The sequence below is a fragment of the Homo sapiens genome, chromosome 9 (genome assembly GCF_000001405.40).
Source record: "Homo sapiens chromosome 9, GRCh38.p14 Primary Assembly".
NCBI lineage: Eukaryota > Metazoa > Chordata > Mammalia > Primates > Hominidae > Homo > Homo sapiens.
This window is the reverse complement of record NC_000009.12, coordinates 65,695,305-65,709,998: the sequence shown is the minus strand read 5'-3', so window position 1 is coordinate 65,709,998 and position 14,694 is coordinate 65,695,305. Positions and strand designations below refer to the sequence as shown.

At 34.6% G+C, this 14,694-nt stretch overlaps 1 protein-coding gene across 24 annotated transcripts in view; it reads right to left on the bottom strand.

The window, feature by feature from the left end:
* ZNG1E (Zn regulated GTPase metalloprotein activator 1E) overlaps positions 1 to 14,694 on the bottom strand; it is an 81,063-nt gene that overhangs the window by 24,043 nt on the left and 42,326 nt on the right. For 7 of the 24 annotated variants that reach the window (XM_047422963.1, XM_017014456.2, XM_024447453.2 and 4 more), the window contains 4 exons: positions 11,438 to 11,484; positions 9,662 to 9,748; positions 6,985 to 7,029; positions 1,041 to 1,097 (listed from right to left, as the gene is read on the bottom strand). In XM_047422963.1, the coding sequence (XP_047278919.1) occupies positions 1,041 to 1,097; positions 6,985 to 7,029; positions 9,662 to 9,748; positions 11,438 to 11,484 (236 nt within the window). Of the gene's footprint in view, positions 1 to 1,040; positions 1,860 to 5,410; positions 5,669 to 6,073; positions 6,120 to 6,254; positions 6,373 to 6,984; positions 7,030 to 9,661; positions 9,749 to 11,437; positions 11,485 to 14,694 lie in introns of those variants that run through there. The other 17 variants (XM_005272751.2, XM_017014455.2, XM_047422960.1 and 14 more) reach the window with 12 other exon arrangements.

Sequence of the window (14,694 nt, the reverse complement as noted above, 5' to 3'; positions counted from 1 at the left end):
GTGGAGAAATAGGAACACTTTTACACTGTTGGCGGGACTGTAAACTAGTTCAACCATTGTGGAAGTCAGTGTGGTGATTCCTCAGGGATCTAGAACTAGAAATACCATTTGACCCAGCCATCCCATTACTGGGTATATAACCTAAAGGACTATAAATCATGCTGCTATAAAGACACATGCACACGTATGTTTATTGCGGCATTATTCACAATAGCAAAGACTTGGAACCAACCCAAATGTCCAACAATGATAGACTGGATTAAGAAAATGTGGCACATATACACCATGGAATACTATGCAGCCATAAAAAAGGATGAGTTCATGTCCTTTGTAGGGACATGGATGAAATTGGAAATCATCATTCTCAGTAAACTATCGCAAGAACAAAAAACCAAACACCGCATATTCTCACTCATAGGTGGGAATTGAACAATGAGAACACATGGACACAGGAAGGGGAACATCACACTCTGGGGACTGTTGTGGGTTGGGGGGAGGGGGGAGGGATAGCATTGGGAGATATAACTAATGCTAGATGACGAGTTAGTGGGTGCAGCCCACCAGCATGGCACATGTATACATATGTAACTAACCTGCACATTGTGCACATGTACCCTAAACCTTAAAGTATAATAATAATAAATAAATAAATTTAAAAAAAAACTCAAGAAAAAATAAAAAATAAAAAAATAAAGTGAAGAGAGTTATTTGTGTGAAAACGCTAAGCTAAAATTTTCCATGTATTTCATGCATTTTCTCATAGAAAGAGTATTAGACATAGTGTTTGGTGTAGAAGTGTTAACGATTAGCCTCTAAAGTTAACTATCATTTACACTATAATTTCTACAGGAAAATGCAATATGATTTCCAAACAACCAATTAGTAAAACTTCCAAGAATATACCTCATTAAGAATGGTCTTGTAAGCCAAAGGAATGGCAGGAAGCTTAAATCATGGATGCAATTGTGCAAATCATTCCTGTTAACTATGGGGAAAAAAGGTACATAACAATAAAAGTAACCAAATTATACAAAACATACCTTATTCCAGAGAGACTATCAAAGGCATGAAGATCTAATACATTAGAGAGATCAACTCTAAAAGGAAGAAAACTAACGTGAGCAGTTGGAAATTCTGTGAAATACATCCAATTAATCAAGAAAAAAAAACTCTGACTCTTAAAAAATTTTATACATAAAATTCATAGAAGTGGGCAAATGGTGTAAGATTTGAATCACAGTTGAATCAAGATTGAAAATTATTTGGTTATTACTTCAATGAATTAGGTTTTTTTTAAACTTCCAATTATCTTTTCAATCCTGAAATTTATGAGCTTTTCAAATACATTTTTATAGCTAAAAAATCAGCTAAAGAACAGAAACTTTTCCAAGCAGCTTATTACTCAAAAGATGAAACAAAAGAAATGACAAATAGAATTAACAAATAGGTACATTCCAGATACCTCTGCAATTTTTGTATTTCTTTTATACCCCCTCCCTTGATATAACATTTAATATAAAAATGAGGAGTCAAATAACCAATGTACAAAATATTAGGTTACTCTAGGACCCTGATCTTCACATGATTTGATTTCATTCATTCAGAATGGGGCTGCATGTAGAAAGAAAATTCCCACCATCCGAATAGACATTATTTCTCTTAGAATTATTTAATGATAATTAAACTCATTTAATTGAATCCAATGATTCAAATCAGGTGAGAATAAATAACATATCACAATTAGCATTAGGTTTGGTTTAAATATAAAAAAGCAAATTTATAAAGACTGGTGATTGAGTTATAATTTTAACATAAGCCCAGAAAACCACAGAGGACAGGCCGGGCACGGTGGCTCATGCCTGCAATCCCAGCACTTTGGGAGGCCGAGGCGGGCGGATCACAAGGTCAAGATCAAGACCATCCTGGCCATGGACAACGTGGTGAAACCCTGTCTCTACCAAAAATACAAAAATTAGCTGGGTGTGGTGGCATGCACCTGTAGTCCCAGCTACTCGGGAGGCTGCGGCAGGAGAATCATTTGAACCCAGGAAGTGGAGGTTGCAGTGAGCCGAGATTGCACCACTGCACTCCAGCCTGGCACAGAGTGAGACTCCGCCTCAAAAGAAAAAAAAAAAAAAAGAACAGCAGAGGACAGTGATTTCTCATAATCAAAGCTAAGGTGAAGAAATATTTAAAGAAAATGACAAATGTATAATTTCAAATTTAGATTCCAGAAGCTTGCCAAACATTTGTTAAATTTTCTTACAAGGAAAAAAAACATCATTGGTCAGATTCAAGATTTTTTTTTCTTTAATGCACAAACATATAAGAAAAAACATCTCCTTTATCTTAGGACTGACCAACTGTGCCTGCTTTCTTTATTCTCAACAGTCTATCACATACTCGTACTCGTGGCAACAATACTGTGTTAGATTACGAATACTTGTCTTGGCAAAAGAGAGACAAATTCCCATCTTATTACTCCAAAGTTCTATGTTAGTAGACTATAACAGCAACTCAAATTCTGGGCATTTTAGATGTACAGAATTAGAAAAATGATCAAGCAAAGAAGCAAATGTTCTATGAAGAAATTTTTGAATATCAGTTTACACTAAAAGGCCAAAGTCTTAATATTAAACATATTTCCTTTTTCACCCCCCACCCCTCCCCCCGCTACTGAGCATATTTATATTGACAGGTCACAAACAAGGGGCACGGGGGCTCCACTTTGGGAGGCCAAGGTGGGCGGATCACTTTGAGGCCAGGAGTTTGACACCAACCTAGCCAATGTGGCGAAACCGTCTCTACTAAAAATACAAAAATTAGCTGGGTGTGGTGGTGCACACCTGTAATCCCAGCTACTCGGAGGGTGAAGCAGGAGAATCGCTTGAACCCAGGAGGCAGTGGTTTCAGTGAGCCGAGATCGCACCACCGCACTCCAACTTGGGGGACACAGTGAGATTCTGTCTCAAACCAGAGTGAGATTCTGTCTCAAAAAGATAAATAAAAATAAAAATAAAAATAAACCAAATGAATGAAGTTTCCCTCCAAGTTTGTCATCTTCATCTTAGGAAATAGCTTAAAGTTTAATAAAGTTTACACATGCCAATTTTGTGAATATCAAATTCAACAGTTTGGAAACACAAGCTTCTAAATAAACTGTTTCACTATGACAGTGTCCTTGAGAATACATGCCATCCAGAGGTAATTCTGCTTTATACTCAGATTCTTTCCATACTTCCAAAAAAGGATCAATATTAGACCTGTACAACAAATTACACTCTTTTACAGAAAATAATAAAATATCCAAGTCTCTCACCAAATTTTCAAAAAAGAGGAAAAGTGTAAGCTTCCAGATGAAAGTTTCTATAGCTTTCCCCAAATTTAGTACCACCATGAAAAAGAAATTCTTCACTCATTCAAGGCATACGACTAGAAAACTAATTTCCATGGCATCAAATTAATTTCCTCCTTTGGAGATAAAAGCATGAGATCTTTTCCAAAGCATTAAAATCGCCAAGAAAAAAAAAAAAAAGAAAAAAAAGACCATTACCAGCATTTTAAAACTGAGTAAGAGAATGAAGTAAACAAAAAAGGGAAAGAAAAAGCTTCAAAAGTTCATTTTTCTCCTAATTTCTTGAACTCTCTATTCCAGAAGTACCTAATGTTTTTCTTAAAAGAGAGGCTTTCAATTTTTCCCTATGTCTAAAGGCTGCTTTAAGTAGCTTAAGACCAAGGACAGGAGAGTGAAAACGAAGAGGGTTTTGGCTCTCCAAGGTGGGGGTGGAATTGCAGCTACTGCTTAGGGATATTTTCCAGTGGTCATCTCTTCAAACTCCAGTGAGTCTCACAAACAGGGTGCACCAGCCAATCCAAGTATCCAGTATCTACAATGCAAACTGTAGATACTATCCAAATTGACAGTAGATAGCTCAGTAAATAGCTGAGCAAACTGCAATGATAGCTCAGTCTTCAACTCTGGAAATAAATTTCCAAAAGCCTTCCCCAGTGGCAATTCAAACTCAAAAACGTTTACAAAACTAATCACATTTTCCAAACCTGCTTCCACCACTACCCGACCTGTTGCTCCTCCTTCCTGTATTTCCTGTACCTCGGAGATTAGCCTCACATTGAATCTACCTCCCAAGAGTCATTTTGCTTTTAAAATCCTTCACTAACTCCTTGCTCCCTACAGAAGAAAATCCAAACTATGTATCATGGCATTCAAGACCCTTTGTGGTAAGTTCTCTATCTCTTCAGTCATACCACTTTTTCTGTGCTACATAATACCAAGTTTTCTAGCCATTCTAAAATATTCAAAGGTCCCTGGAATACAAAATCTTCCTTATACCTGGAAAGTTATCCCTACCCTACTCCATCTGTAAAAACCTTATTCATTCTTTAAGACTCAGGTCAATGACTGCCTTCTCGGTCAATATTTTCCTGACTCTTTTTCAAGAAAAGTTGAGCAATCATTCCCTCTATTTTCCTATTATTATAGAACTCTGTGCTTTTAAAATTCTTGTATTAATATTAATATCTATTATGTTGCCTTTTTGTTTGTTTGCTTCTGTTTCCCCCCAATGACTGATCTCCTTAAAGGCAGAGTTTTCGCCTTATCCATTGCTTATATAGTCCTTAAAATGCTATGAAATGCATAGCAGGCAGTTTGTCAAATTAATTTAACTTATTATTGACCAGCTGTGTTTTGGTTTTCCTCTGTTCAGTCCACTTACATTTCTAAAAATTAAGAAAAAGTCTAGAGAAGATTAAAATGACACATCTTCTAACCTTTTACTCCTACTTCTGAAATCTATGTGGTTCACTAGTACTTCCATTTGCTACTAAATCAACTTAAGTCTTACCACTAAGACGATGCTACACACTATTCCTTTTCCTTAATCTTAACTACTCAAGGTGAGCCTTTTTCTACACATGCTTATAGCAGTTTATTGTCAGTACTTGTCAGCTACAAAATGGTAAAAAAATTTAAAAAAACAAAAAATAAAACAAAACTTCTATAAGAGTGACTTTGACTATTTTGTTAACCAAATCTCCGGTTTTTTTGTTTGTTTTTTTTTTTTTTTTGAGACAGAGTCTCGCTCTGTCACCCAGGCTGGAGTGCAGTGGTGCGATCTCAGCTCACTGCAAGCTCCGCCTCCCGGGTTCACGCCATTCTCCTGCCTCAGCCTCCTGAGTAGCTGGGACTACAGGCGCCCACCACCAGGCTCAGCTAATTTTTTGTATTTTTAGTAGAGATGGGTTTCACAGTGTTAGCCAGGATGGTCTCCATCTCCTGACCTCGTGATCCGCCCACCTTGGCCTCCCAAAGTGCTGGGATTACAGGCATGAGCCACCGCACCCAGCCCAAATCTCCAGTTTCTAAACTGGTAAGCTCAAGTTGCTATGCCTCAAGGAATTTGAGAGAATATTTAATGTAAGATTCAGGACCCAATAGTAAGAATTCTACTCAGGACATCTGATCTTCATTGAAACGGATTCTAATCCAACTTCAGTCCTCATAGCAAGGAAGTACTATTTCAGAAAGTCCCTAGATTCTCAGATGCATTGGCAAGAACCATACACTGAAGAATTCACAGAAGATTTTAGTCACTTGCTCACTCATCCACTTGAAGTAAGAAAAATCAATCACTGCATGTTTATTGTTCTATAATAAAGCAAATGTTAGAAATAAAAGTTAGAAATGTCAAACACACTAAATTGTTACATAATAAACTAATCAAGACACAACTTTTATTCAGGACATGGATATTTCTGAAATGAAAACAAAAGAAGAGAATTGACTTAAAATGTTTATAAATACGAATATTATGACAGAACCAAAGCTATTTATGAGCATTATTTTTAAAAGCTTGTTTAAGTATTATGCACTTGTCTGTGTGACATTTTGTAAAGCGGAGAAAAATTAAGGAGAAAGGAATTGTAGAACACTAACAGGAAGAGGACAGATACTGAGGAATGGCTCATGGTATAAGTGAGATTATCAGAGACTTTCTACAATGGAATTTGAAATGCAGGGAGCACATTTGGTGTATGGTTGTAGAGGACTTACACTAAAGGGCATTCTTCGGCTACCTCTGCCAGCAGATGAGCGGCTCCTGAGAATGCATACCAAATTAATTCCCCAGCTGTTCACATGCATATAAGCAGCTGCTGCTGTTACTGCCTAACACTTAATGGCAGTCTGGCAGCACCTCTAATCTCTGCCATAGCAGACAAGCCACTCATCTAAGGCCTCTGCTGTACTTCCAAAGAAAGAATTTCTCAAGTAGAGACTGAGTAGAACTAGACTGCCAGCTGTGAGCCTCAGAGCTCCTGGCTGCCTGTTGCTGAGTCTATCAGCTGCTGAGCCTTTCTCACCACAAAAAAAAAAAAAAAAAAAAAAAAAAAAATGAGCTTAATAAAATATCCCTGCACAGAAATTTTCTGAAATTAAGATAACATTCAATGGAAAACAGAATTTAATCTACAGAAATACACTTCACAGATGTTTTAGGAACAGAACCTAGAGAAAATGAAAGTCAAAATTTAATAAAAGAATTTGTCAGGAACTTCAAGGTAAAGACTCCATGTATTTTTTGGCAACTATAAAACACTAAGAAGGCTTTTTAAATATTAAAATGCCATTTAAACACTTCAAATTAAGATTCCTCAATATACTTCAGATTTCTGTACTGAGTTACCCTCTCGAGTGTTTGGAAGTCTTTTCTTCCTCATTAAGCAAACACTTACACAGTGTTACCATGGCTTTGTAATCTTAGTTTTGAAGACAGGCAAATGTACTAGCCAAATATGCCAAACTAACTTATTAAGAGCATTCCAAACAACATTTTGGATCCAATTCTTTTTAAATGAACTTAGATCTTTCTTATATCAGAATCAAGCATATTTGTCAATTACTTAATGTTTATTATTAATAACTAAAATGATTTGTTATTAATAGGAATAGCTTTTTTAAAGTACCTTGATCTTTGTGTTTCTAAGATTTGTCCTAGTCCATTTATGGATCTGAAATAAATAATAAATGAGGAAGACAAAGTTTAAAAGTAAAAATTAACTTTTTAAAAAAGTATACAAAGTATATTGTTTCTAAAACAGGAAATAAGCATACCCAAATACATCTGGAACCAGAAAAAAATTAAAAACAGAAAAACAAAACTTGCTTTAAAAAATAATTATGATTTTCCTTCAAACAATAAATCACATATATTCCACTCATACATCAATAAAACATATATGCAAAAATTCGCACAACTGTCAGATTAAGGGCTACTTTGTGGTTAATAAAAAGACGCTTCACTTTAGAAAAAATCATTCATAAATAGTCAGTTATCCTAGTGATCTTAAAAATGAGTAGATACTCAAAATTTTTACGGTGGTCACTTTTTTCCTCAGGCATACATGGTAGAAATGGCTATATACACACTAAAAATAAAAACCTAGTTGTAAGTTGCTTTGCCCCCAGTCTGTCCTTAGTATTCACAGTAATTCTAAGTCACACATCCCAGGTTCCTTTATAGAATAACCTCGTCAGTTCCCTAATTAGGCTCTCTACCCGTTATGCCTATTCTCCCTCTTTTGATACTATAGAATATGGCTTTGTATGGCACCAAAAAGTACCTGTTAAATTCTTTTCAGCACACTGTACACCTCATCTATTTATCTTTTCCATTGCCTATCATCAATCATCAATTCTCTATCATGAATTCAATTGTCTTTAGGGTTACTTACCCAAGATTCTTGCTACTTGTTCAAGGTTGTTCTCATGGGTAAGGCTTCCCACATATAATGATTCTGAGGCAAGTCTCTCCACTATTTTACAAAATTCTTAAATCTTCTTTTTTGAATACACTCTAGTCTGATGGCTAATTCCTCTCAAACATGTTTACCTTTTTTCACCTCCCCAAATATCATTCTGAGTCAGTCACAAGTCTGATATAAAGGGAGGGTAAAAGCCAAAAGGGTGTGTAATTTATCAAATTGCTTCTTCCAAATTCATTTCTAGTACTGTTAACAAGCTGGCTAATAGTCAATATTGTCAGTGTCAGAGATTTAGCTTAGGTCTCTATAAGGATATAAAAGTCAAGTAATAATTATCATTCCTTTTATGCCAAAAACGTTTGCTAAATAGATTGTGTTCTTCTTAGCAATCACAATGGTGCACAAGATTTATGAAGGAAACAAGATTAGAAGACCAGTGTCAAAAAATGTAAAAGCAATCTTCATTCATCACTTTCTCCTTTTCAAAATCAGCCATCTTTTTCTTTCTTCCCTTTTTTACTATACCTTGAACTTACTATGTAAGCTAAGAAAAAAATTACATAATAATAGCTAACAGAGCACTTACTATGTGTCAGCACTGTGCAAAGTTTACCAACATTGTCTCATGTAATACTCAAAGCAAACTTATGATAGGCATTATGCCTTTTACAGAGGAGGCTTTAAAAGGGTAAATAAGCTCCCTAAGAAGACAATGAGAAACAGACCAAGGATTAGAACCCAAGCAGATTCCAAGGTCTGTGATCTTCAACACTAGGCAACAATACCTACCCTCCACATGGAGACATTATATTTTTTTATAGTAAAGTTTAAGGACATTACTATTAAAATAAGATGAAATATGTGGAAAAAATGTGAATTTCTTTCTTCCACAATCATTAATCATGGCAAATAATCTCCTAATGAGCCTTACCTTTATTGATTCAATTTATAATATATACTATATGAACTGAGATGACAGATTCAAAATCTAATGTCAGTAGAACTTATAAATACTAAGAATAGTAATTTTGAGCCACCATCACGCTCAAAGCATTGTACACATTAAAGATAACCAATAATAATAGCTACCGAATGTCTCTCTGTATAGGGCTTTTATTAGTTCAGGTCTTACAAAATAATTCAAAACAAAGTCCCTGAACTATAACTTCATTTGAAAAGTCCATCTTTGTTTTCAAAAGGAATGGGAGTCTCCAGAACAGTCAGCAAAATGACTGTTAGCACATATTTGAGCATCATTCATATTGTCCTGATTGTCCTATGCTGATCAGCCTTGGCTATGGACAAAGAAGATATACAAGCAAGCTGGAAGACAAGGCATGGTTGACAGTTAAGGAAGATGAAGTCAACAAGAGTTCAGGGAAAACTGAGACCACTTGAGTCAGGGAAGACTTCACATAGGAAGCGGGGAGAGACAGAATAGGCTCTATAGAATAAATTTAAAAAAAAAAAAACAGAACAAGAAAGAACTCAGGGATTGGCAGAGTGAGAATACATTATGAGTAAAGACAGGAACTGAGAGGATGCATCCATGGGAAAGTGAATTAACCATCCTGGGTAAAGTTAGGGAAGACTGACATTAGGAAAGAGTCAAAGAGAAGACAGGAAAAGAAAGATGGAGTGCGAAGACCCTGAATATCAGTCTATTAACTGTGAACTATATTCTGCAAGCACTGAGGACTAATTTTATGTATTACCATTTATATAACAATTAGCCATCAACAATATATGTGATTCCCTAACGTTCTTGAAGCAGGTCAACCTTATACCTTAAGTTTCTACAGGGCAACAATCAGAGTAAAAAATATTCTGTGTATACAATATGGATCTGTAGGCACTTAACACACTTATCATTTTGTACCTAATTGTCGTTCTTAATTTCTTTACATCTTCTTCTGGAACCAAGTCTGTTTTATTAATGAGAATGATATCTGCCAAAGCAACTTGCCTAAAATAGCAAACAAAAAGAAATGTTAAGAAATTTTAAATAATATACACGCATGCAGATTAATACATCAAAAGAGAAATGTTAACAAATTAAAAATAAATAAAAACACCTCATGTAGATCAATATATCAGTTAAGAATTATATAGTGCTCTATAGGAGTGATTCAGTTTACTCCTAATCCGCTAACTTTTCAATGTGAATGAATTGTATTCATTACTATGCAAGTTCAGATTTCACATTACCCATTTGCAAAGTATTTACTAAGTTCTGTTACTTGCTACTCTTGCGCTACAAAGATAAGTCTCAAAAAGTTTACAATCAAAAGGATGATTTTAAACTCATAATTTTCTTTGTGAAGAAAAGCATAAAATTCAGATATCCAATATGGTAAAAAGAAGAAGAGTTTACCTACTAAAATACTGTAATATTTACCAAAATTTTCAAAGAAATAGAATAACTTCACTTAATACTAAAAACTGTATTAAACAGGTTTTTTAAAACTATACTTCAGAGCTGGGCATGGTAGAGCACACCTGTAGTCCTGGCTACTTAGGAGGCTGAGGAGGGAGGATCCCTTAAGCCCAGGAGTTCAAGTCCAACCTGGGCAACATAGCAAGACTCCATTTCTTAAAAAAAATAAGCTATACTTCAGAAGATATATCAGGATATTGCACAAATGTCTTCTTTATCACTATAAATATACTGTATATTATCTCTGTAAAGAATCCAGTTGACTGAATGCTAGATAACAAAGTAGATGATAATAATCAGAAGCTCTATTTTCTATTAACAGGATAGTAAAACTGGAAATTCTTTCAATTTTCCTCAATTATTCAGGGTCTTATGCTTTATCTCAAAGAATACAACTAAATTCTCAAAACTAAATTAACTTTAGTTCACTGAAAGAGCAGGTTTCAACAGTATGTACATCACAAATCCAATTTGGCTATTTTCTATTTGGCTTATTTATATTTTCTATAATAACCATATTTTCATAAGGAAAAAAGTTACAAAAATACTTAAGTTCAGCCAGGCGCAGTGGATTCATGCCTGTAATCCCAGCACTTTGGGAGGCCGAGGCGGGTGGATCACCTGAGGTCAGGAGCTCGAGACCAGCCTGGCCAACATGGTGAAACCCCATCTCTACTAAAAAAAAATAAAATAAAATAAAATAAATAAAATAAAAAAATGCAAAAATTAGCTGGGCATGGTGGCGGGTGCCTGTAATCCCAGCTACTTGGGAGGCTGAGGCAGGAGAATCGCTTGAACCTGGGAGGCAGAGGTTGCAGTGAGCCTGCACTTCAGCCTGGGTGACAGAGTGAGATTCTGTCTCAAAAAATAATAATAATAATTATTATTACACATATATATATATATAAAAAATCTTCAATCCCAAAGAAATTGTATAACAAGAAAATATTTCTAAATGTTAATATTTCCCGAGTTCCTCAAAATTACAGAACTCCTGTGTTCAGCATTCACTTTATGCTACGACAAAAATGACTTCAAGTAAAAGTTTAGTTATGAGATCATTATAAATAGATAGCAATAATTCAACTAAGGGAAAAAAAGAAAACAAATTTTCCTTGACTATGTTTTAAAATTTCTTAGTTTGTTTTTGGTTTTCATCTTAGTGATTTTTCTCTTTACAATTAGCCAGCAATCAATATATACTTTAAATATGAATACCTAGTAGCTTCATTGATAAGGCCATCAGGTTTCTCTTCTGTTAAATGCTAAACAAAAAAAAGTTTGAATAAAGTTACTATAATACAATAAAAAATCTAATGTCAACACAAAGGATTTTACTTTAGAGACATTTTCTTGCATTTAATAAAAACTTCAACATGTTCTGTTACTGAATACACAAATCCAAAACTAACTTTTCTAGCTGAAAGCATTTTTCTTCCTCATTTGCAATTTTTTTCTACAAGTGAACCTGTGGGGTTTTATAGGGGGAGGAAGAGGGCTTAGGATTTCATACTCCTGACCTTTTCTTTTACTTAAAAGGAAAACCCCTTTGATTCACATAATGTCATAAAAACATAGAAGATTACAGTTCAGATTTTAGGTATTTTCCTTCTTACAAAACTGTTCTGGTTCTAAATATTCATTATTACTTATTTTAAAAAAAGGATAACCACTGAAATATAGTTTCTTAGAATCTAATATACTTCCCTTCACACCAAACCCCCATATTAGAATCTAAAATACTTCCCTGCACCCCAGCCCACAATCATGCACCACGTGAACTCAGTACTAGGCCTTTCAAACACCCTAGAAACAAATAAGTGGTGGGAAGGCTGATTCAGCCCTGATTCTAGCCTAAAAGCAGTTTATCATTTAGAAACCCATACTTGCTAATCTGGCCTCTCAGTGCAACTGTTTATTTTACTGACCTCTCCAGAGTCAGGCTAACTCCAAAAAATATTTTGACACTGACTTAGAGCCCAAGTGGTAGTTTCCATCTCTCTGGAGGCAAGTTTTGTTGTCTGTTTTTTTTTTTCCCCCTCATAATCCTGTTTACATCCCTAACGTCATCAACATCACAAGCTTCTTCTCTGGGAAATTACACTTTTACCCTCATTACCTCAAACCTCAATAGAGGTTCCCTGTCACAATAAAAAGCTGGCTACTGAGGTTTAGAGGCAACTAGATTATAGTAATACTCTATATTTGAAGCCAACTTTACAAATGAATTAAATCCTTGAATCTAACTTTATAAATTATATACATTTTTCTCATTTAGCTTTCATAATAATTATGGGAGATGGCTATTTTCATTTATAAAGGAAGAAACTAAATCTAACACCCTCATCATCACAGGATACTATATTTTATATACAATCACAGGGACTTTTTTTTTAATTGAACACACACCCATCAAGTAAAATGAACATAATTTTAAAGCCTTTGTGAAATCTTTTATGCCACATAAAATCAGTCTGTGTACAATGCTACACAAATGTCAATAACCATATATCAGAGCCAAACCAGTTTCATAATTCATGGGGAGATGATCATTAGGGGTATCTGAATAGTTTGGAACCTCAGAGCAAGCAGGTAATAATTTTATTTAACACGCTTGATTAGTTCTATAGAAGAAACATTTTTTCCTTCTAAAAGTTCAGCAAATTCTATTTTGAGGAAAACAAAACTGAAATAAAATCATGGCAATGATACTTCTACTTCAGGCAAAATCTTGTTCAATTCAACTGCAGACCCACTCTGCAATTATGGAAGTCACAGAACTTGACAAGTATTGTATCAAAAATCATTCCATGCCAAAAGATCAAGTTTAATATTTTTTTCATAATTCATCTTGGCCTGAGGCTACAACAAGTCCTATTGTTATATACTCTGCCTCTAGAGAATGAGGCTGCTAACAGACCTTGGAATGGTGCCTGGCACAAAGGCTCAAGAAATATTTGTTGAATGAATTGTAATTAACACCTCCTGTTGTGGGGATACATAAAAGATGTTACATGAAAAATGCCATCTAACATGCAGCAACAAATCTCTTCCCATTAAGCAGTAAATCTACTTAACAATGATATATTTTTGGCAAGGCATCTGCCTCTGAATGATCCTATAGTACTGAAAATTCTTTTTAAACTGAAATATTTTTCAAGATATTATATTATTGACCTTATGAAAGCTTTTTTAACATATGAAATTGGGGTTATTTGGCTATGAGTTTGTGAGGCATAAAAATGATATGACAGAAGAATTACAGATTTGTTTTTGCATTTCCATGCCTAAATGTAACTAATACAATGTTAGTTTCACAAGGTAATGTGCAATGTTTTAAATGCATTTACCTCTCCAAAATATTAGAATTCTTCACTCAAAGCTAACAGTGGTAGACTAACGTTTTACTACTTCCAGGCAGTCAGAAAGTATCAAATATAAAAATAAATGAAAATCACCCCAAATGAGAGCCTGCCAATATTTACAGCTGTATTAAAATTATATGTAATCATATACAATTATAGCAGAAGAGATAAATGTCCTCTTCTATGCCCATAGGAAAGCTATACAAACATTTAAAAAAATAAGTGCATATTAACATTTATTTTCTTTAGACATCAGCCCTGCATTTCCCTCATGTGACTTCCTACCTTCCCAAGTCAAACTCTGCAAAAAGTATAAAATCAATGTCTTCTATTCAAAAGAACATTCTCCAATAATACATTATATACCATTTGGTCGTTAAGTCAGATGACTTTCATTTATAAAATAAAACAAAATGGAAAGTTTGGCATTCTATTCCACCTGTATAAGTAAATGAAGAAAAAAATTTTGCAAAATATTTTTTAAATATTTTATATTACATAGATGTCCAAAGTATTCCTTATCTCTGCTTAACAACTATGGCTTTTGCTTATATATCAAAAAAGACAAAAATAATTTTGATACTAATTAATCCAACATATTCAAAAGGCTAAGGATCAAAACCCCAATTTAACTTATCACAAGAAACAAAGGAAATTAAAGGGGAGTGGTGTGAGATGTTGGTCAAAGAATACAAAGTTTGTTATACAAGATGCATAAGTCATGGAGAGCTAATTACAGCATGATGACTGTAGTTAATTCTATTGTATACTTGAATCTGCTAAAACATAGATCTTAATTGTTCTTACCACCCCCTCTCAAAAAAATAGCAATGTGAGGTGATGGATAGGTTAACTAGCTCGATTGTTTGATAATGTAATTCACACACTGTATACCTTAAATATATATAGTTTTTACTTGTCAATTATACCTCAATAAAGCTGGGGGGTTAGGGAGAGAAACAAAGGAACTCTCTGAAATAACACCACTGTAGACCTAACTTCATGAAGGGCTATAGGGTGTCCTTTTCTGCAGAAATAAAGAAAGAAGCCGGACCGAAAAAAGAGAAAGAAAGAAAAGAAAAAACTGTCTTAAAACCCACTGGCTATGAA